The 24,353-nt window shown below is 39.1% G+C and overlaps 1 protein-coding gene across 1 annotated transcript in view, besides 2 other annotated features; it reads left to right on the top strand.

Moving 5' to 3' along the window:
* The window catches only part of VWA8 (von Willebrand factor A domain containing 8), a 394,275-nt gene that overhangs the window by 302,844 nt on the left and 67,078 nt on the right, over positions 1 to 24,353 (top strand). The gene's annotated exons all lie outside the window — the stretch shown is intronic.
* Positions 9,648 to 9,792: an enhancer, noted in NCBI's record as "145 bp enhancer 169 fragment used in the MPRA reporter construct; PK_construct_1260". NCBI's record gives its function as "activates an SV40 promoter by MPRA in HepG2 cells {active_cell/tissue: HepG2}" and the evidence as "EXISTENCE:reporter gene assay evidence [ECO:0000049][PMID:23512712]".
* Positions 9,715 to 9,726: a transcriptional cis regulatory region, noted in NCBI's record as "FOXA motif; enhancer activity is reduced when this motif is scrambled". NCBI's record gives its function as "necessary for full MPRA enhancer 169 activity {active_cell/tissue: HepG2}" and the evidence as "EXISTENCE:site-directed mutagenesis evidence [ECO:0005528][PMID:23512712]".

Below are 24,353 nucleotides of genomic sequence, written 5' to 3'. Positions count from 1 at the left end.
GCTGGCCTCAAACTCCTGAGCGCCATCTATCCTCTCACGTCAGCCTTCCAAGTAGATGGAACTACAGGTGCAAGTGACTGTGCCCAGCTAAACGTTTCTGAAAGTTTGTTCTCTGAACCCTTTTTTCATGAAAATACCATGTTCTAGCTGTTAGGAAACACTGTATAGCTTAGTAGCCTCTTAGAGATGAAATTACAATTGGTAAATATCTGGCTTTGAGAAGTCTCTCTGTAAAGAAACCTCTTTAACTTTGTTTAACCCAATAGACCCCAAATCTATTTTAACCTTTAAAAGATGCGTTAGCAAGTTACCAGTGTCTGTGTTCCTGGTTTTCTTTACTCCAGTAGACGTCTTAGGACAAGACCTTTATGCTCATTCTAATCCTGACTCATGACATTGCCAGGTTGCATGTCATTTATGACCTCAGAAAATAAATCTGCTGTGCTAGGGTTAAGCTGCCACTTAAAAGAATAACTTGGCCGGGCGCGGTGGCTCACGCCTGTAATCCCAGCACTTTGGGAGGCCGAGGCGGGTAGATCATGAGGTCAGGAGATCGAGACCATCCTGGCTAACAAGGTGAAACCCCGTCTCTACTAAAAATACAAAAAATTAGCCGGGCGCGGTGGCGGGCGCCTGTAGTCCCAGCTACTCGGGAGGCTGAGGCGGGAGAATGGCGTGAACCCGGGAAGCGGAGCTTGCAGTGAGCCGAGATTGTGCCACTGCAGTCCGCAGTCCGGCCTGGGCGACAGAGTGAGACTCCGTTTCAAAAAAAAAAAAAAAAAAGAATAACTTTTCTCTGTACCTTTAAAGAGAGGACTTATTATTTATGTGATTCCAGATTTATTATGGAATCAAAAAGTATGTAAAATGATGTTTATTAGGAACATAGAATATGACAAAAATTCAGCTCACAGTAACTTAAACTACAAAAGGAAATTTATTGGCTCAGAAACCTAGAAGTCTCAGGGCCTGGCGCTCAACACATGGCACAGGACCCAGCCTCTCTCCTCTTGGCTCTGCTTTTCTCGGGGGTGGCTTCATTCTCACACAGTCGTTCTCCATCAGGTGGCAAAGATGGTCCTGGTAGCACTGGGTAATACATATGGTTCTTCCAGCTGGCAACCTCAGCCAAAGGGGCATGTCTCTCCGTGTAATTTCAGCAGAAGTCCTCAGGAGTGCTTAAATAGGCTGGTGAGGTCACATGCCCTGAACCCATCACTGTGGCCAAAGGGATGGCATACTTTGATTGGTCAGACCTGGGCCATGTCTCCACCCCTAGAGTTTGGAATGAGAAGGGACTGAATCAGTCACACCTGAAACATGAAGTTAGGAAATAAGGATGGGAGGGGAGCACCCCAGAAGAAATGCTGGATGAACAACACGCATGACCATGTGATTTTTATTTTTATTTTTATTTTTTAGTGGTTTTGACAGCAAGAGCCAGCTCCTTCCAAGTGATAGCTAATGATCTTTCCTCTAAGTTAGGACTTCTTGGAGTCCGGGACTTCAGATTTACTTGAATTGTCAGATTTATTGTTTTGCACTCAACAAGACAATCATGAAGCATGATCCTTACCTAATATATGGTAATTAGGCCAATGGTGATATAGTATCCATTAATTTTATCTTCCATTTAATTCCTTGGATGAATAGCTCAGAAATATATACTTGGTTTTCTAATTATACAGAGAGCAGAAATAAATACTCTCTAGTCCAGTCTAATTCATATGAGACTTTCCAGTTGCTGGGGTTCTGAATGAAATTCGTCAAGTCTTCCTTGACAGTGTTCTGGTAGCATAACAGTGGGAATCCCCTTACCCCCCAAGAAAAAGAGCTCACTCATATTGGATAATTTTTATTATTTTTTTCTTCGGGATGTTTGTTTTAAGAGGGGAATACAAAGCTGTTGAAGGGCCTACATTTCACGTTGCTGGTGAGGGCTGAATAATCCTTTCCATAAAGAACATCTGTAGAACCCTCGTAGGAAAATCTGAAACTTAAATAGGTTTTGCACAAGCCAAAGAGGAAAGTGCTGCATTTGATTGTAAGTCATCATTCCCTCAACTGCTCTGCCTTCATATTTACATATAAGTCATTACTCAGAAAGAGAAAAATCTGACACAATATCGGAAACAAGTTCATGTGTTCCAGTCTGCTTCGGGTTACTCTCAACAATCTGTAAGGACTATTTCACAGCAGTAAATAGTCGCCATTATTGTAATTATGACTCCCTTAGTCTTAAAATAACAATGTTTCTTCTTTTGTAGCCCATAATTATTTCGAAGTTTAAAAATCAGATGTACATCTCTTTTGTGCCTCTGGTTTGATGGTAGGGAAGGCCTCTGACTGCTTTCAAGATAAAACAGGAACATACTTTAAGATTCTGAATATAGCTCCTTCTCACCTAAGCCCAGCTCAAGAAATATTTAGATAGATAGATAGACTATACAAATGTATTTTCAATACTTATTTATATAATATGGCTTCTCTAAAATTGCAATAGCATTTCCTTTACAGGACAGGTCTTGATTCTTCAACCTCTGAGGAAGATATCACTAATATCTTCTAATCTTTGGCGAGTTTAAAAGGAGCATATGTTCACCAAGGGCACTTGCTGATAAAAATAATAGGAAAAAAAACTCATTCCATCACCAGAGTCTTAAATCCAAACTCTATAATTTCTGTCCCCAGATATAATGTAACCATTTTTTCATAAAATATAATTACATTGTTAAAACCTTTTACTTTCTCTCTCTCTCTCTCTCTCTCTCTCTCTGTCTCTCTGTATGTGTGGATATATATTATATATCTACATTATTTTTCGTGAACCACTTAAATGTGAGTTGTAGACATGATGCCCCATTACCTCTAAATACTGGCTGGGCGTGGTGGCTCACGCCTGTAATTCCAGCACTTTGGGAGGCTGAAGTGGGCGGATCAACTGACGTCAGGAGTTTGAGACCAGCCTGGCCAACATGGCGAAACCCCATCTCTCCTAAAATATAAAAATTAGCTGAGCATGGTAGCACATGCCTGTAATCCCAGCTACTAGAGAGGCTGAGGCAGGAGAATTGCTTGAACCCAGGGGGCGGAGGTTGCAGTGAGCCAAGAGCATGCCGCTGCACTCCATCTTGGGCCACGAGCGAGACTCTGTCTCAAAAAAAAAAAAAAAAAATTTCAGTTTTTCCTCACAAGAGCATTCTCCTAACGTAACCAACAACACAGACCTCAAAATCAGGAAGTTAACATTGATATAGCATTAATGTGTAACCCACAGACCTTATTCAAATTTCAGATGTCTCAATAACATCCTTTATAGAAAAAGGAAGCAATTGCAGATCATGTATTACATTTACTTTACATGTCTCTTTGGTGTCTTTCAATCTGAACAGTTCCTCATCTTTCCTTGACTTTCATGACCTTGACATTTTTGAAGACTTATAGGCCAGTGATTTTGTAGAACATCCCTCAGTCTGGGTTCATCTGATGTTTTCTGTTTTTAGATCCAGCTTACGCATCATTGGCAGGAACATCACAATAATGCTGTGTTCTCAATGTGTCCTGTTAGATCAGGAGTCCCCAGTGCCCCAGGCCCACACAGCAAGAAGTGAGGAGCTGGCAGGTGATCATCATCACCAGAGTGCTGTCTCCTGTCAGACCAGCAGCTCGCCAGCAGCAGTAGATTCTCACAGGAGCGTGAACCCTCTTGTGTGAACTGTGCATGCGAGGAATGTAAATTGTGTCCTCCTTATGAGAATCTAATGCCTGATGATCTGACGTGGAACAGTTTTATCCTGAAACCATTCCCTCTACCCTGTCCCTGGAAAAATTGTTCCACGAAACCAGGTCCTGGGGCCAAAAATGTTGGGGACTGCTCTACTAGGTGACACATGATGTCAATTTGTCCCATTGCTGGTGATGTTAACTTTGAACATTTGGTTAGGGTGATGTCTCCACTGTGACATTACTATTTTTTCCTTTATAATGTGTTTTGTGGGCATATATTTGAAGATGATGTGAATCTTGTTTCATCAAACTTTCATCCATTAATTTTATCATCTGTTCATGATTCTTGCTTGAATCAGTTATTATCACTATAGTTGCAAAGTGGTGATTTTTCTGATTCCAGTATTCCTTTGACATTTATTAGTTGGCATTCTAAGGTAACAGAGTGTGTTCTCTTCTCCCTTTGTGTGTGTGTTTGTTTTTATGAGTCAATTTTTGTTTTTGTTGCAATTGCTTTTGGGGACCTAGTCATAAATTCTTTGCCAAGGCTGATGTCCAGAATGGTATTTCCTAGTTTTCTTCTAGGTTGTTATAGTTTTAGGTCTTAGATTTAAGTCTTTAATCCATTTTGAGTTTATTTCTGTATGTAGTAAAAGGAAGAGGTCCAGTTTCAATCTTCTGCATACGGCCAGCTACTTATCCCAGCACCACTTATTGAGTAGAGTTCTTTCCCCATTGCTTGTTTTTGTTGACTTTGTCGAGAATCATATGGCTATAGGTGGGCAACTTTGTTTCTGGGTTCTCTATTCTGTTCCATTGGTCTATGTGTCTGTTTTTGTACCAGTATGGTGCTGTTTTGGTTACTGTAGCCTTGTAGTATAGTTTGAAGTTGGATAATTTGATGCCTCCAGCTTTGTTCTTTTTACTTAGGATTGCTTTGGCTATTCAGGCTCTTTTTTTGGTTCCATATGAATTGTAAAATAGTTTTTTCTAATTCTATGAAGAATGCCAATGGTAGTTTGATAGGAATAGTATTGAATCTATAAATTGCTTTGGGCAGTGTGGCCATTTTAACAATACTGATTCTTCCTATCCATGAGCATAGAATGTTTTTCTATTTGTCTGCGTTATCTCTGATTTCTTTCAGCAGTATTTTGTAGTTCTGTAATTTGTAGAAATCTTTTATCTCGCTGATTAGCTGTATTCTTAGGTATTTTATTCTGTTTGTGGCTATTGTGAATGGGATTGTGTTCTTGATTTGGCCTTCAGCTTGGACGTTACTGGTATATAGAAATACTACTGATTTTTTTACATTAATTTATAACAGGCAGTTTTATTGTGAACAAGCCCTAAGGAAAACATCCATTATAATCTATCAATCTCATTAAAGATTTGGTCAGAGATAGACAAGTAATCTTTGCTCTGTGCAATGGCTAGGACCTAAAATAATGTAATTATAGTGAATTTGTATTATGTTATTTGACATCTATCTATCTTGTTACATTTAACCATTAACTTTAAATAGCTCCAGATTTTTCTTGTTTGTTTGACTGGAATTATTATTTCCACTGACCACAGGAGGGTGTCGGTGAGCTTAGAACAGGAGTATTTCAAATAAATACTGGAACTTCAACAACTAATGACAAATTCTTGTCATTTCACTATATTTGGAAGTTGTAATATAAAAGCATCGTCACTAGGCTAGCCAGAAATCTTGAGTCAATGTCCTTTCTATCAGAAGATCTTTTGGCTATCAAATGAAAGGCTTTTATGAAAGAATTCAGAAATTTTAGTGAGGTATTGTAGCACAGAGAAATTTCCTCTGACTAAAAATTAAGAAACCCAAATCCTCTTTCTGGTTCCATCACTAGTTGGTTTTAAGTAGTCATTTCACCTCTCTGGGCCTTAATTTCTTTTTTTTTATAAAATAAGGTAGATTGTAAGCTCATCCTTCAGGTCCTTCCACAAAAGGCAACAATGAATACAGGGTCTAAAACTAAAAGATACACATCAAAGAACTTCTCCATTGTAGTGATTCTTCTTTTAATTAACTGCTGAGTATGTGCTAGCTGCTTCTGATACATTCTCTCACATGATCATTACAACCACCATTTCAGGTGTATATATTATTGCTCCCATTCTGAGGTTGGGAGTAAGTAATTTGTCCAGGCTCACTCTGCTAACAAAGAACAAAGCTGAGATTTCAGCCTAGGTTTATCTAACTCAGAAGCCCGTGTTTGTATGCCTCTTCCCCATGTGGCTTCCCTAGGACCAAAAGATTAGTTTTAATGGAAGTTGTGCCCTTAGAGAAGAAAACAGATGTCTCTGCTTAGTAGAATTTAGACTAAATGCTTATAGGTGCCAGACAGGCAATGTGGATGGGGACACAGGCCAGGAGGGTCTCAGGTGAACAGGAAGTTGTGCCCCATATAGGAAGGCAGTCACTACCTAGCTGTTGCCATGTGAGAATCTGGCCCCAATTTGGCCTTATCCTCCCATTTTCAAGAGAAGACCAAAATCTAGATTTTTAAGTGAAATCTCATTAATTTGAAATTTTAGCAGCAAATTCAGAATGTTTCACACTGGGAGTAATGACAGTACACACATTTGTGGGATGGCAGGACCTGCTGATATCTCTTTTCTCACACCAGGGTGGAGCAGGATTGAGAAATGAAGCCCCATTCTCTTCCAGGCTTTCCTGTGTTGCTAAATTTGCTTACAAGCTCTAGAAGAGTCCCTTAGGTTCCCTAAGCAATTAAAACAGGGACTGGCAAATTGCACCACCTTTTTCTGTAGGCCCACAAACTAAGATTTTTTTGGAAAAAAAACTTTAACAGTTGGAAAAAATCAGTTGATAAAAATAATTATATTTCATGGCATATGAAAATTTTATGAAATTCAAATTTTGGTGTCCATAAAGTTTTATTGAAACACAGCTACACTCATTCATTTATGTATTGTCTGTGTCTGCTTTTGCACTACAAAGGCACAGTTGAGTAGTTGCAACAAAGACCATATGGCCTGTAAAGCCTAAAATATTTACTACGTGGCTTTTTATAGAAAAGTTTGCCAACTCCTGGTTTGGAATACAAAAGCCAAAAAGATGGGCAGTCTACCTCTGCTTTCTACACTATTATATTCTCACTCTAAGATAATTTTTTTAAATGGAATCTCCTGAAATCAGAGGGAAGGAAAGGGGGAAAATAAAGGAGATACTGTCCAAAGCAATTTACAGATACAATGCTATTCCTGTCAAACTACCAATGTCATTTTTCACAAAATTAGGAAAAGCTATTTTACAATTTGTATGGAACCAAAAGAGAGCCTCAATAGTCAAAGCAATCCTCAATCCTTTCCCCATTGCTTTTTTTTTTGTTGGCTTTGTCAAAGATCAGATGGCTGTAGGTGTGTGGCTTTGTTTCTGGCTTCTCTCACATGTTCCATTGGTCTATGTATCTGTTTTTGTACCAGTACCATGTTGTTTTGGTTTCTGTTTATATTTATTACGCATTTTATGAGTGACAAAGCAAAATCCTCTGGTTGTAAGAATGAGAAGAATGAAGCTAAAGCAGTGTCCACACACCCCTTAAATATGCCTTATCAGACCCCACACCTTCACTCACATTGGCCCCTGCCTGGAATGCCCATACACACTCCTGTGTCTCTTCCTTTAAGGCTGCATGCCAATGTCTCCCTAAGCCCTCCTTGGATGCAGCCTGTCTACCCTCAGCAAAACACATCCCTCCCTCCTCGGCATCCCTATGCCTTGATCATGCTGTGATCTCTGACTTTGACATGTGTCAGAAGGGCAAGTTCCCCCAGAGCAGAGTGTATGTCCCACTTAGGCTGGCACCCCCAGCACCCACCTAGGAGCCTGACACCTGGTCAGATTTCAATAAATTCTTGATGAATCAGTAAATCAGTAAATGGATGTACAATTAATTTGGCTATTTAAAGCTTTTACGAGGTCCCTCAGAGGGATGATAAAACTGGAGAATCCTTTGGAGTTTTCCAGGCTGAGCCTTTTGTATCTGTAAATGAGCTCACTCTTCACTAGTGACTATTGCCTAGGTTGGCAAAGAATCAAATAGGGATCAATCCCACCCTGGTTCATGTTTCTACGCTTGTTAGTTTGTGGCTATGGAATAAACACCTCTGAGCCAGGTAGCCAAAACCAAGTTTGATTCCAAGTTCTATCCAGTGATCTTAGGCTATCATTTAACCTCTCTGAAGCTCCATTTCCCCATCTGTAAAATAGAACTGACTATAGCAGCTACCTCACAGGATTGTTGTAAAACCCAAATGAGATAACATGTTCAAGCATTTTGTGAACTGTAAAGTAGTATATAAGTATACAATATTATTATTTATGATAATAAATCTGTACAATAATAGAAAGATTATAGATTTCTCCTATTATCTATTATAGATTAAAGATTATATGGTGAACTAATTTTAAAATTTATAAAGAGCTACCGAATTAACTTTAAAATTTAGAAAACTTGTTGAGTATGTATAATGACCCTTTGAAGGGGAGGGGCTAATACTAGGTTCATAACTTAACGTAAATTACAATGAACAATCCAAGGAATTAGATTATTTCCCGTCCCAGCCAGCTTTGTAAAGGCACAACACGTGTTGCAGTGATCACTTAAATTTGTACCTAACTTGTGCAAGCTACCCCTGGTGGTGGAATGCTGCCCTTCTCAGAGTGAGGCTGAATGTGGGCCTAAAGTATCCAGCATATTTTCTTCCAACTCTGAAATTCTGTGGCTTAGGTCTTGTTACTAGAAGTGAATTCTGTTTCACCATTACCAGATATTATAAAGTTAGAGGTGCATTTCAGTAGAAAAAAATAACATTCTCCCCTCACCCCCCAGCAATAAACCTTTGGAAATGAAAAAACAATCAACTTGTGATGAATACTAACAGTACTAAACAAAAATGATCAATACTCAAAATACTAATGGAAAAATCTACTCTAATCAAAATGATTCACAAAGAAACACGAAGTAAAACTACCTCACCAGAAATACAGATAATATTATTATCTGCCTGACTATAATTCATATATTATTCATCTAATACAGCAAATAAACCTATTTATTCCTTTGCATTTTACTATAGGACATATTCTTGTCATTAAATAATTACTAGTGTTCATTTTACAATTATTAAAACTAGGAGGTTTGTAAAGAGTAAAACTTTAAAGTAGGAAAAGTTAAATATTTATTTTAGCTAACTGATATCTCATAATTCCTTTTGGTTTAAAATATTAATATTCCTTTTTTGTAATCATAATGAAATCTGTTTAAAGAAATCTACTGCCCTATGTTTTTGTTGTTGTTATTGTTGTTGAGACAGAGTGTCCCCCATCACCCAGGCTGGACTGCAGTGGCGCAATCTCAGCTCACTGCAACTCCGCCTCCCGGGTTCAAGTGATTCTCGTGCCTCAGCCTCCCAAGTAGCTGGGATTACAGGCACCCCCCCACCACGCCCAGCTACTTTTTGGATTTTTAGTAGAGACGAGGTTTCACCATGTTGGCCAAGCTGGTATCGAACTCCTGGCCTCATGTGATCCACCCGCCTTGGCCTCCCAAAATGCTGGGATTACAGGCATGAGCCACCGTACTCAGCCCCTATAAGTTTTAAATTCTTAGGCTAAATGGAAACCATTAGCCTAATATTTTAAACTATCTCTTAAAGCATTTCTTTATTCCTGAAGACTCTAAGCATAAATGATGCTGCTTATAATTTATGACATTAATTGCCTTTAGCAGTACCGTGCTTCTATGTGTTATTGTTGCTATTATGAAGGTAATTATAATTGTATGTCTCCTGAGAAGATGAAAAAGTTTTTGTAGGTCTGTATGTAAAGTATTTGAAGAAAAGATTATTTTACGGCCCCGTCAAAAGTAGCTTCAAGCAAGAGCTATTGTTCAGGACCTTTTATAGACATAGATGAAATTCCTTTTGCCATTTGAACAGTGTTTACATTCGGGAAAGTTCACAGTTAAGTCTTTGACATACTGTGAAAGGATCTTTTGTTCTCTACAAAAACATACTTCCTCATCCTTTGAGTCACCTTGTTTTTATTCCCTTGTTTACTTTTCTGGGGAAATAATGCCCACCTCCCAAGTAATGTCAAGGGAAGAACTATTTCAGAAATCTAAGTTGTTCTGTATGAGGAAAGAGGGCTTGGATTTTGGCAGAAAAAAATCAGAAATATTTTTAAAACCTGAACCAGATAAATAATGTAATCTCAAGCTTCCAAAAATTATTTGGGTAGGGTTTTTTCCAATGCTAAAAAAAGGAAATCTTTTTTTATCATCATTATTACCAGTGATCAGATTCAGGAAGTGTGAGACACTTTACTGAGGGGACTACCGACACCGTCCAAAGGCATTTTTCTATTGTGTTAGGAAAGCTCTCCTCTGCTAACTACGTTGATTCTCCAAGACATGCATCATTTAATATTTTCTCCTAGGTGGTGGGTTTTATGATGAGCTTAGGCTTTAGTCAGTCAGACTTGAATTCTTTTTTTTTTTCCTGAGACAAAGTCTCGCTCCTTCGCCCAGGCTAGAGTGCAGTGGTGCGATCTTGGCTCACTGCAACCTCTGCCTCCCGGGTTTAGGCGATTCTCCTGCTTCAGCCTCCTGAGTAGCTGGGATTACAGGCATGCGTCATGATACCAGCTAATTTTTGTATTTTTAGTAGAGAAAGGGTTTCACCATATTGGCCAATCTGGTCTCAAACTCCTGACCTCAAGTGATCCACCCACCTCGGCCTCCCAAAGTGCTAGGATTACAGGCATGAGCCACTGCACCTGGCCCAGACTTGAATTCTTTTAGCGATGTATATTTATCAGTAAATAATGTGACTGATTCTACTCATGGTTTCAAAGCTGATTTTGAAGGGAAAAAACCATTGCTGTTTTGTGTATCAGCATATGCCCAATGCTAGCACAGTGCCCTGAACTTACTGGACACTCAGTAAGCATTTGTCAAATGAATGAAATAAATATATATGCATTCAGAGTGACAATGTCAAATAACAACCTTTTAAAATTCTTTTTATTTTTTTCAAATAAGTCTTTTAAATGAACACATTCTAATGTATTTAAGAAAATCTTATTTGTTTGTAGATATGCTCTGTGTGTTAATGTAACTGTTCATTTATCCTTACCTAATATGCATAAGTGGAAGATTACTTGTAGTTTAGGGATTATATTCAAACCCTTCTTTAGTCACGCTAAACCTGACACATCCAGAAAATGTCTCCCAAAAGCTTCTGATCCTCATTTATATCCTAAGTTTTACCACAGGCAGGCCATCAAAGTCAGTGATCTTCATGTTCTGGGGCATTTCCATTGGAGCTCTTTTTTTCTGTGTAAATGATAAACAGAGATGTACTTTACTGCTACTGTTAGTAAAGCTGTGTGTGTAATATGTGAGGAAAAGGTAAGGTACTGAAGCCTGCCCATCACTGTTAAGTATTCTACATGTATCTCTCCATTTTCTCTTTGTAGCTTCCTATGTGATAGAATGATGATAGTCCCATTTTATAGATGAAGAAACAGATTTTCAAACAGATTACATAGTACACCCAATGTCCTGTGGCCAGTAAGTGACATTTTCAGACGTGAGCCACTAGGGCAAGCATTGAGTCTGCAGATCATGTTCAGGATTGTCTGGTATGATGCAGTTCAGACCATACATAAATACAGTATTTTACTAACCTTCTGAAAGATATGCTAGCCCTTTAATCTAATGTCTTATTTACTGATGTATACAGTGCTTTCTATAAATCTGATATATATTAAAAAGGAAAAATGCTTGCCTTTCAGGCATATTTCTTGCTTTCCTAAACCATGATATGCTTTATAAAACATTGAATTTTGTACTATCAAGAATACATTCATTGTTTATAGCCAGTGTAATGTAGTAAAAAAAAAATCTGATAAACCTGGGTTTTAGAAGGAGATGGACTGAGATTTCAATCCTGGCTCCTCCAATTAATAACTATGTGATAATGAGTATGTTGCTATACATCTCTAAGCCTTAGTTTCCTGTCCTGCAAAGTAGAAATAATACCTAATATGGAGAATTATGAATATCAGAAGTAGTATATTTAAAATGCCTAGACTGTAAACATCAGGGCACCGGCACGTGGTCGTCACTCATCATCATTACTCACTGAATGAATCCATGAATGAATTAATGATTCAGATTAGGTTCCATTGTTCAACCCTACACATAAAAATCAGGAAAATTTGGCCGGGCGTGGTGGCTCACACCTGTAATCCCAGCACTTTGGTAGGCAGAAGTGGGCAGTTCACTTGAGGTCAGGAGTTCTAGACCAGCCTGACCAACATGGGGAAACCCCTTCTCTACTAAAAATACAAAATTAGCTGGGCGTGGTGGCACATGCCTGCAATCCCAGCTACTCGGGAGGCCGAGGCAGAAGAATCGCTTGAACCCAGGAGGTGGAGGTTGTGGTAAGCCTAGATTGTGCCATTGCACTCCAGCCTGGGCAACAAGAGCAAAACTCCGTCTCAAAAAAAAAAAAAAAAAATCAGGAAAATTTGATAAGAATCTTAAGTGAGAAGAAAAATCATATACATTCTCTTCTTTGCCCTCCTGGAAATACCTTTCTTCTTTCAGATGCACTTAGAAAAATAAAAGTAAGTGAAGAAGTCACATCTGATATTATGTGATTTAAAAAAAAAGATTTTTAATTTCACAAGTGAGCAAGTATAGATTGAAGTGCAAATCCTAAATTGGAGCTAGTAGAGAGAGAACTGCCTTTTCCTTGGCACTTCAGCACATTTATTCTCGTTTTTTTAAGGTATCCATTTCTCTCAAGTCTTTCATGGAACAGTCATGATACTGGAAATGTTTTGAGTCGCTCTCATGCCACCTCTTTTGCAACTGACAGCAAACATGTTTTCAGGAGTTCAGAAGTAATCAAGTCCTAATATCAGCTGCCAGAGCCATAAAAAGGGGCCTGCCGCAATCTGGGCAGAACACTGAGTGAGTTAGGAAACATCAGTTTGGTATTTGTAATATTTGTAGCAAAACTGAACTTCCTGAGTGAGGTCATGAATGAACAGCAGATCATGAGTGTTATTATAAGAATTGGACAGAGTGTAGAATTCTCATACAACCCAAACTTCAGAAAATATCCTTGATGAAAATCCGGAGTTATTTTTTCCCAATGCTAATATTAACATGATACATACCTGGCATATCTCTACTGAAAAATGAATGTTTTGTACTAAGCAGTACCTTTTTCACTCTCCTAAAATAATAGTAATGATAGATAATGCATATTGCATTTAGTATGGCCAGGCACTATCTTAAGTAATAATGTGAATTTAACATTTTTAACCCCCACAATGACCCTATGAGGTAGGTGCCATTACTATCCTTGTTTTACAGATGAAGTGCCTTACACGGTTAATAAGTGTCAAAGACAGAGTTTGAATTCAAGGAAACTGGTTCCAATGTCTGTGCTTTTAACCATGTTTAGAGGAAATTTTTGAGTAGCAGTAATACAGTGAGTCCTCACTTAACATAGTCAACAGGTTCTTGGAAACTATACTATTCTTGGAAACTTTAAATGAAACAATAAATAATGAAACCAGTTTTACCATAGGCTAATTGGGATAAACAAGAGTTAAGTTCCTACAGCATATTTCTGGTTACAAAAACATCACCTAACTTCTAAATAGAGACCCAAAACACTCCTTATAGTAAACACTGAAATCAGTGTAAGCTATATATACATTTAAGAAAGATTAATGAAAACAAGTAAGATAACTGTTTACCAAATTACTCCAGTTCAGGGCTGCAGTTAGCCAGAGCCTATCCTGGTGGCTCAGGGGAACCCACCTTGCACAGGAGGCCATCCCCCGCCTCGTGGGGCACACTAACACACCTGCACTCACTCACACTGGGACCATGTAGACACACCAGTTAACCTAAAGTGCACAGCTTTGGGATGTGGGAGGAAACCAGAGTAGCTAGAGAAAACACACACAGGCATGGGGAAAACGTGCAGACCCCACACAGACAGTGGCCCTGGCCGGGAATCTGTGTTTTTTCTCATTGACTTTATAATGAAATGTCCTTGAACAAAATGTTATTCAAGGACCTGCTCTACATGTATCTGCTAAGACTAGACAAAATATATATTTAATTATCCTAGAGAAGTGCATATGGGCAAGGCAAACTACCTCTCTACACTCTGGTTTTTTTTTTTGGCGGGGGTGGTACAAGATGCCTAGGTCTCACAGGTAGATTAGAGGCTCGTAAGAGGAAAGCCTCTGAAAGAGCCAAGGGTTCTTCCAAGCTAAGAGGGTTCACCTTGCTTCCCTGGGAAAAATTGCTTTAATATAATGGCACAATTAAAAAAAAATCTGGGTAGTCAGCTACCATGCTAAAATTGTTGCCCTTAAATTTCAATGAAGTCTGTCTGTATGAACTTAACAGGAGAAAGATACTGGGTTTTACCTATAATAAGAAAAAAGGAGATAATAGATTCACTCCTTCACAGATGCTTGCTCCTTAAGAGATACACTTGCCAAAAACTCACTTACTATGTTTCCTTGTGGTAATGTTAGCCCTGCTAGGGCCTCTTCCAACACAAATGAGCTACTGTATGAAATTAGAAAAAGGCTCTCCCACCGAGAGGATGGATTGCAAAGTGGGACCTCTCTGGGCAAACCGGTTAGAAAACAGAAAGAGCTGCTTTCTTTTGGCTACCTTCTTTAGAGCCTGGTGTTGGTGATGTGAGCATTGTGTGACTTTCAGCTCCACTCACACTGCCTCAGCTGAGACCTACCCTGTACAGCCCTAGGCAGCTGCCCCATAAGGGACATACCAAGCAACTACACTGGCGTTCATTAAGCTCTGTGGCTGTATTAACTCACCCAAGACTAACATATGCAAACAACGTTAGCTCCCTAAGCCCTGTTAATAGTGGAAAGTGGCAGGGTAGAAGTGGCACTTGGAAGCAAACCAGCTCCAGTCAATGAGAAGGAAGCTTCAGTTCTCATTCATTATTGATTCCTTTGACAACTATTTATTGAGGATCTACTATGCACTAGGCATTGTACTAAGTGACAGCTATTCAGAGATGAAAAGTCCTTGATAGCAAAATGGAGAGTGAGGAGTGTGATGACTGGCAATGGCTGGGAGTCCAGATCGGAAAAGTTCAGGATCACACAAACAGGCCCCTAAATAGAGAAAGGAAAAAGCAAGGAACCAAAATATAGGTTCATGCAGTAGGGAACCAAATTGGGACCCAGTTACTAGAAGGGAAATGCAAGGTGGAGGGCTTATTCCCAAGAGAAAATGCAGTTTAGACAATAAGTGTATGAGAAGACAGTGGACCAACAGCAGAATTAACTTGAGGCTGAGCAGCATTTGGGGCTAAGTGGTCCTAGCTGTCAGGATCACCTTTGCCTAGAGTCTATAGAAGGACCTTAAAAAGCTGAAAATTGTGTGTCATGTGCTAACTTTTAATAAAGAATCACTGTGAAAGCAGATCCAGAAAATTTATCTGTTACTTTTCAAGACAAAATTCAAAAGTTTGGACTTTTTTTTTTGAGTCAGAGTGTTGCTCCATTGCCCAGGCTGGAGTGCAGTGGTGTGATCTCAGCTCACTGCAACCTCCGCCTCCTGGGTTCAAGCATTTCTCCTATCTCAGCCTCCCGAGTAGCTGGGACCACAGGTGCCTGTCACCACGCCTGGCTAATCTTCTTATTTTTAGTAGAGATGGGGTTTCACCTTGTTGGTCAGGCTGGTCTCAAACTCTTGACCTCAGGTGATCCACCCACCTCAGCCTCCCAAAGTGCTGGGATTACGGGTGTGAGCCACCACGCCTGGTCAAAAGTTTGGACTTTTTGTTTCAAAATTCAAAAGATTCTGCATTTTCTTTTTAATTTTTCTTTTTTTCTTTTTTTTTTTTTTTTGTTTGAGACGGAATCCCGCACTGTCACCCAGGCTGGAGTGCAATGGCGCCATCTCGGCTCACTGTAGTCTCCGCCTCCCAGGTTCAAGCGATTCTCTTGCCTCAGCCTCCCGAGTAGCTGGGATTATAGGGGCCTGCCACCATGCCTGGCTAATTTTTTGTGTTTTTAGTAGAGACAGGGTTTCACTATGATGGCCAGGCTGGTCTCGAACTCCTGACCTCGTGATCTGCCTGCCTCAGCATTCCAAAGTGCTGGGACTACAGGCATGAGCCACCGCACCTGGCCTGCATTTTCAAAAGTGCTGTTACCATGGTCTTAAACATTTTATAGGCAAGCATGTATGCTTCTTTCTATCAAATGGTGAGATGTGTGTAACCCACTGTTGCCCTTGGTGATTGCTGCCAAGAAACAGTTTAATTCAATACCTAAATGGTATAATTAACTCCTCCAAGAGGCTGGGTTATGTCTACATGTCCAGTTATTATAGGGTGATCATATAATTCTGCTGATGAGACTGAAAAGAATCATTTTAATAATTATGCTGAGACAACAGGCATTAACCAGAACTATTGTAGGCACAGCAAGACATATGACCGACTGGTTATTCATTTGATTTCCGTTTGTCTTATTTTATTTAGAAGATAGATTTGTAGAATCTCTCTGGTGTTTTAGAAATATAAATGCAGAATATTTTGTCATATAAAACACGTGCATACCAAGGAAAGGTTTTCCACTTCTCCCACATACTGTTTTTTTTTTCCCATAAAAATCTTCTTTGCATTATAAACTTATAATGCATTCAAGAACACCATGCAGTATGAATACAAATGAGCACAGCTGCCTCCCTACCTAAGATCCTCTGGTTGTCAGGGGAGACATCATTCCCATGGTGTCTCTTAATAGATAAGAGCAGAACAGCCGTCTTAAAACTAATAATGAGCACCTCAGCAGTACTGGCCCCTCACCAGTAGTAGACATTATAATAACTCTTTGCCAAAAAGCTGAGCCAGTACACATATGGAGAGTCAGAATTCCAAAGAACTCCAGACATACTATGTATGACCCTAGGCAAGTTACCCATGCATTAAATTTCTGAAGAGATTTCAAAGTGAAATAATCTACCTGACTGGGACTAGCATTGCAATTTTCTGAAAAACCATCAACTCTCTAAATATTTTGGAAACTAATTAGTTGTCATAAAATTAATATTTTAGTTTTAATTGCTTTTGTTTTATTTTTAAGATTTCCTTTTTGCTCTAAGCACCGCAATTCTCGCTCTAGTTGTTTACCCCAGGACATCCTTTCTCCCAGAAAACACTCCCAGCCATGCTATCCATATCTAACACTCCAGCCCTGCTAGCCATATCTTGCCCACAGACAACATAACTATCCTGCCAGTCCTCCTCATTCTTTGTCTTCATTCAGGGTGCGTGCTTGAAGATTTTAAAAGGAGAAGCAAAACAAGGGTAATTTAGAATAGAATGTGTGCTTCACAGTCTTAGCAAGTTCTCATAAGCCCAGTGGTTATCGGAAATCAGGACAGAATAGGAGGACTTCTCAGACTGATTCCACAATCTTCTACCAGTTTTTTTTTTATCTCATCCTCTTCGTTTTTGTGTTATTCTTTTAAAATCAAACAAAACAATGGTCTGGGTACTTTGCTTTAATAAATTGGAAATACCACTTTCCAAAAAAGCCTCTAAGATTTTATTACGATCAGGATGAACAACTGGATTGACTTATTATCTGATAAAGTGCTTTTTTTGTTGTTAATTGCCATCAAACAACAGATGAATCTGTAAAAAATTTCAGACTTTGAAATGTATTGTATGTTCTGTTTTGAACATAAACAAGTCAGAGATTGGATAGAAGCCCCAGTTTTAGCATTAAGCAACTAAATCACTAGGTAAAACTTTTTAGTGTGTTTTAAAATGGGTAAAAAGCTAGAAATGGGCATTTTAACTAGCAAGTACATGATTTTTAAATCACTGAATTTGATCTCTTGTATGTTTCAGCTAATCTACCAACACTCTGAATGATTGCTTTTTCTTGCTAGACTGATTTATTTCCTCTCTTAGTCTTAGTCTAGCCATCTTTGAGGCTTAAAACATTCAGGTTTATTAAGCAAGGAGAATATCCTTAAAAATTTCATTGCATCTTGGTTTATGTAAGTCTACCAGCAGGAGAATTTTATCACTCCCAGGAGGTGCCTATGAGCTATTTGGGTCTGGCTGCCTGTTAAACTGTTTCTTTTTATTTATGGTCTATGTAATGTGAGGGAGAGCAGAAGTTGGCTCCTGTGGGCATTCCCTAAGCCTGGACATTGCTTTGCTCCTGCTAAAAACACTGACGTGAATAGACTGTCACAGACTCAAAGGTCACTTTTCCATTTTGTTCATATTGAGAAATACTCTAGATAATTATCTGTCTTTTGTATCTAAGAAGAATAGGAGCGGGGGAGGGAGTTGTTTCATTTCCTTGAATATACTTGGCTACATAGGGCTCTCTTGAAATCGTAGAGTAGTGATGTGACCCACATAAAGAGCACTTTGCTTCCAAGCGTGGCCCACCCATTTGCTATGCTGATGTTTCTGGAAACACTTTGTTCTTTTTTTTCCCCCTCCAACTTTTATTTTAGGTTCCAGGAGTACATGTGCAGGTGAGTTACATGGGTAAATTGCATGTCACTGGGGTTTGGTGTACATATTATTTTCTCATTATTTTCTCACCCAGGCAGTGAGCATAGTACCCAATAGGTAGTTTTTTGATCCTCACCCTCCTCCCACCGCCGACTCTCAAGTAGGCTCCATCGTCTATCGTTCCCTTCTTTGTGTCCATGGGTACTCAATGAAACCCTTTGTTCTTACAAACATGCCTCACTTTATGCCGTGAGAGTCTTCCTCAGTGTGTATAAAGCCAATTTGTATAAATCAGATAACATTTCTTCTTTGACATAAGATTTATGTAACCATTTCAAAGGTAGCATTTCTTGAAAGACACACTATGTAATTCAGCTATGGACTGTGGCCTTTAGCCTTTAAGGTGCCTACAGGTTAGCAGGTGGAGAAAGCATATGTGGATTGTTAGGACTGATGCAGCACAAAGGACAATATGGAAAGGACGGAGAGCTCTGAGCACCCAGACAAATGAACGCATCTTTTGTTTGGGAAATTCAGGAACAACTTCTGGGAGGTGGTATGTGCAGAATGGCTTTCCTTGTGTTCAAATATTTGCAGTTTGTCCAAAATGTGGCTTTAGGTTTCACTGATTTAGCCTCCTTACTTTTTTTTCACATCTATCTAGCACTTAATAATTTCCAAATAGATGGTTATGCTCCTCAAAACTTTCATTTAAAGGAATGTGTTTAGAAATTTAAAAATTCTTCTGAGCCAAAAAAAAAAAAGTCTTTTAAGCCCAATCTCCATAATGACTTTTTTTGTGCAGTCTTCATTTTCTTCAAACCTCAAACTACTGTCACCTACATTCTCAGACAATATTCCAGTCTTGTGCTTCTCAAAGAAAATGGAAGATACCAGAAGCGAGCTCCTTTGACTTCCCAAGCTCAGTTCTGCAAGCCCATCTGCAGCTGTACCAGCCTCTCCTGTCTCTTGTCAAAGGCCTGTCTTTCCTCCCTCCTGCTCAGGCACTGGCTCCATCCTTTGACACCTTTTTCTCTGGGATCACATTCTCTCTCTCTCACTTATGGATTCCTCCCATCAGCATTTAAACATGCTCTAATATTTTTCTGAACCCCACAGATCTCACCTCCTATCATTCTAATTCATGTAATTCTAATCTTTTATAATAAAGCCTCATAAAGGGATTATCTACATGCACTGACTACTTTCGGACCTCCATTCACTCACCTCTTATTCCAACAGGGCCCTGCCTCCTCCATCTGCAAAATTGTTCCTGCTGAAGTCACAAGTAACTTCCATGTTCTAAATTCAGAGGGCCCTTTCACTCATCATCTTATTTAGCCCTGAGTTGCATTAACTCAGCATGTTCCCTCTTCATTGAAACCCAGTCTTCTCATGGCTTCCATGATAATCCCGATCTCCTCCCAGCTTCCCTCTTGTCTGCTTCTTCTCAGTCTCCTTCACTGATTCATTTCTCCCCTGAGCCCTCTTCACTTTAAATTCTCATTTCAGGCAACTTCATTCACTTCCGTGGTTTCAGGTGGTTGGTAGTTGTAAAGTACATTAACAAATAAAACAGTCATAGATATGGTAGGAGTTTACAAAAATTTATAGTAGAAAAATAGAATGAGTTCTCCATTTCTTCTGTTTTATTTAAAGTAATTCTTTAATGCATCATATGTTTGAATGCTAGTTTACATTTTTTCAAACCGTCTTTACGTAGATATAAACAGGTTTCAAGCTGGAAATGTCATAAGGGGTTATGTCTGCATGCAACTCCCTTCATTCTGTAGATGCAGAAACTGAAATCCAAAGAGATTAAGGATTTTTTTAGAGTCACACACTGGTTTGTTTCTTCTTTGAACCTCACCACTCCATGGGGGCGAATGTACCTATTACCATTTAAGAGAATAGAACACCAAGATTTTGAGTGTTTGAATCTTGTGTGAGGTTTCATAGATCATAAGTGGTAGAACTAGAACTAAAACTCAAGTCACCTGGTTTCCAGCCTGCTGCCATGCATGATACTGCTTCTTTGCAATTTTAGGATTGTTGCAGTTAAATTATTTTTAAAACTGAGATTGTCTTTAAAAAGAGAGAGACAAACACAACAATAACAACAGCTGCATCATGTACTGTTACAACATGGCATGATTGTGGGGGAAGAAGACAGGGAGGAAGAGTTTTACATAATAAAAATTCTAGTCATACTTAAAGATTGAGTTGGATTGTTAATTTGTTTTTTATAAATGTACATACCAATTACTGGTGAATCGGTAACACAATGCTAAACACATTTTAAACACATTTCTTCCTGATGTTCTTTTTTTATTATTTATTTTTTTTTATTTCTTTTTTTTATTATACTTTAAGTTCTAGGGTACATGTGCACAACGTGCAGGTTTGTTACGTATGTATACATGTGCCACGTTGGTGTGCTGCACCCATTAACTCGTCATTTAGCATTAGGTATATCTCCTAATGCTATCCCTCCCCCCTCCCCCCACCCCACAACAGGCCCCAGAGTGTGATGTTCCCCTTCCTGTGTCCACGTGTTCTCATTGTTCAGTTCCCACCTATGAGTGAGAACATGCGGTGTTTGGTTTTTTGTCCTTGCGATGGTTTGCTGAGAATGATGGTTTCCAGCTTCATCCATGTCCCTACAAAGGACATGAACTCATCATTTTTTATGGCTGCATAGTATTCCATGGTATATATGTGCCACATTTTCTTAATCCAGTCTATCGTTGTTGGACATTTGGGTTGGTTCCAAGTCTGCTATTGTGAATAGTGCCGCAATAAACATACCTGTGCATGTGTCTTTATAGCAGCATGATTTATAGTCCTTTGGGTATATACCCAGTAATGGGATGGCTGGGTCAAATGGTATTTCTAGTTCTAGATCCCTGAGGAATCACCACACTGACTTCCACAATGGTTGAACTAGTTTACAGTCCCACCAACAGTGTAAAAGTGTTCCTATTTCTCCACATCCTCTCCAGCACCTGTTGTTTCCTGACTTTTTAATGATTGCCATTCTAACTGGTGTGAGATGGTATCTCATTGTGGTTTTGATTTGCATTTCTCTGATGGCCAGTGATGATGAACATTTTTTCATGTGTCTTTTGGCTGCATAAATGTCTTCTTCTGAAAAGTGTCTGTTCATATCCTTCACCCACTTGTTGATGGGGTTGTTTTTTTCTTGTAAATTTGTTTGAGTTCATTGTAGATTCTGGATATTAGCCCTTTGTCAGATGAGTAGATTGCAAAAATTTTCTCCCATTCTATAGGTTGCCTATAGGTAGTTTCTTTTGCTGTACAGAAGCTTTTTAGTTTAGTTAGATCCCATATGTCAATTTTGGCTTTTGTTGCCATTGCTTTTGGTGTTTTAGACATGAAGTCCTTGCGCATGCCTATGTCCTGAATGGTATTGCCTAGGTTTTCTTCTAGGGTTTTTATGGTTTTAGGTCTAACATTTAAGTCTTTAATCCATCTTGAATTAATTTTTGTACAAGGTGTAAGGAAGGGATCCAGTTTCAGCTTTCTACATATGGCTAGCCAGTTTTCCCACCACCATTTATTAAATAGGGAATCCTTTCCCCATTTCTTGTTTTTGTCAGGTTTGTCAAAGATCAGATAGTTGTAGATATGCAGCATTATTTCTGAGGCCTCTGTTCTGTTCCATTGGTCTATATCTCTGTTTTGGTAGCAGTTTTTGGTTACTGTAGCCTTGTAGTGTAGTTTGAAGTCAGGTAGCATGATGCCTCCAGCTTTGTTCTCCCTGATGTTCTTAATAAGGAAGAATACATTTAGCAGTGATAAGTTCTAACTTCTCTGGTTATTGGAATTTTTCACATAAATCTTTGTGTGCTCTGATTGGTTTATTCGGCTTTGATTTAAGATGAGGTATTTTATGATCATAAACCTCAATGAATATGTATCAGGCACGAAGGTTATTCTGGGTGCTGTAACAAGAACTGTAAGATCACAGACAAGGGGCTCTTTGTGGATTAATAAGCTATCACTTAATCACTTCTAACTCAGCACCCCCCTGCTGTTCCTTCTGCCTGAAATCTCCACCCTCCTGCGCTGTCTAATTCTTACTCGTTCTTCAAGATTCCTCTTGAACATTACTTCTTCCAGGAAAATTTCTCTGACTCTTCTCCTGACCCCTAGCCTCTGGGGTAGGAGCTCTTCTGGTTTGCTCCACTACCATATTGTGCTGACCCCTGGCTGAGGATCCCACCTGCTCTCTGCACTAATTATTGAGTACAGATCCCCTCCCAGTTCTGGCTGAAAACTCCATGAAGTGCAGAACCAGGTCTCATTGGGCTTTGTATCCTCAGCATCTAGCAGAGTGCCTGATTCATAGCCAGGGCTTGTTAAATAAACTACAGGCAGGTGTGCAGACTAACCGGCAAGGAAGAAAGGGAGTCACTTAATGCTTTATCTTAATTACGTATGGACATAGTTTTTAAAATTAAATGTATAAGACTTCTTATGAAAAATAGCTCAGATGCAAACACTTTCAACTCTTTTTGCTGATTTATTTTTTGCCCCCATATCTCTAAATAGCATACTCATGTTTCTTCTATCCATTTTAGGCATTATTTTTTACTTCAACCATAGACATTCAGGATTGAGCACTCTTTCACTTTCCCATCCCTACATATGATACACACTTAATATCTCCCTATTCCTATTCCCTATCCCAATGTCAGATATGCACTTACCCCAGTAAATTCATAGTAGAATTTTAGTTAGAATAGTGTTCAGATTTCACATTATAATAACTAAATAAAATATTATCAATCAGCAGAACCACACAGTGTACTTGAATTGCATTTCTGCCAACTGTCCCCCTCATTTTTTTAGGTGAAGAAAACTAAGAGAAGATAAGTCATTTTGGCCAAAACTACTTCACCAGTTAGTGCCAGAATGAGGATCAAAAGTCAGTCTTCTAATTCCTGATAAAATGTTTCTTCCATGACATCAAGCTGCCTTTCAAAAAAATTTTCTTAACTTCAAAATCTTAGTGAACCAATTTGAAGAAAAGCTAAACTTTAATAAAATCGTATAAAAATATTATTTAAACCTAACTTTCCATTTTATTCAAATTGATCCCTGGCAACTTGTAAACTAAAACTGAAGTAAATTATATAAGAGCCAAAGGAAAAAAATTAGAGCTAGAAATAATTTAGTCTGTTTTTTTTTTCACTTTGAAGATGAAGAAACGAATGTGCAGAAAGCTGAAATGACTTGTCTGGCATCACACAGAGAGTTATAGGCCATGCTAGGCTGAAAAGCAGGCTTCAACTTTCATCCCAGTGCTGTCTCTGCTGTAAACTCCCACACACTCAAACACTGCTGATTCCTCTCAGGCTCTTTCCTTCATTTAAAACGTTTCTCTTACAGATTCCTAACCTCAAACTCTATCTATATTAAACTTCTTCATCCCAAAAAATAATGCTAAGACATGTCAGAATACGTCAAAAATTGGGTATAAAGTGTGTTTCTGAAAACCAGGGTTCTGTTAAGCTACCTCACATGACTACACAACTAGAACATTGCACTGTGTTAGGTCTTGGGGTGCAATCATAAAGTAGAGGGAGACAGACATGAAAAAATTCCTAAGTGTCATGAAGAATTATAATAATGCAATAGAGGATAGTACAGGCTCTGGAGGACACCAAGGAAAGTCTGGTGCCACCCTACTCACCCTAGCTCAGCCCAAGACCCTGGGTTAATCTACAGTCTCTTCACGTAGTGTTCTCTCCTCTCCCCTCTGTATGATTCTCAGCATTGCCTGCTGACCAAGCCACGGCACCCATGGCCAAACATACACAACTTCATGTCTCAAAGTTTGTGCTGCCTAAAGCCCTCAACCTCCCAAGACAGGCACTGCTAAGGGAATTCTCAGATGGGGCACAAAGGGAGATAAGTGGGAGGGGTATAGGGAGAAAGAGGGAGCCACAGGAAGCAGAGGCAGGGGAACTTGTTGGAATGGCATC

This window comes from Homo sapiens, chromosome 13 (genome assembly GCF_000001405.40).
Source record: "Homo sapiens chromosome 13, GRCh38.p14 Primary Assembly".
Taxonomy (NCBI): Eukaryota; Metazoa; Chordata; class Mammalia; order Primates; family Hominidae; genus Homo; species Homo sapiens.
The sequence above is the reverse complement of the archived record's forward strand: the minus strand, read 5'-3'. Positions and strand labels throughout refer to the sequence as shown.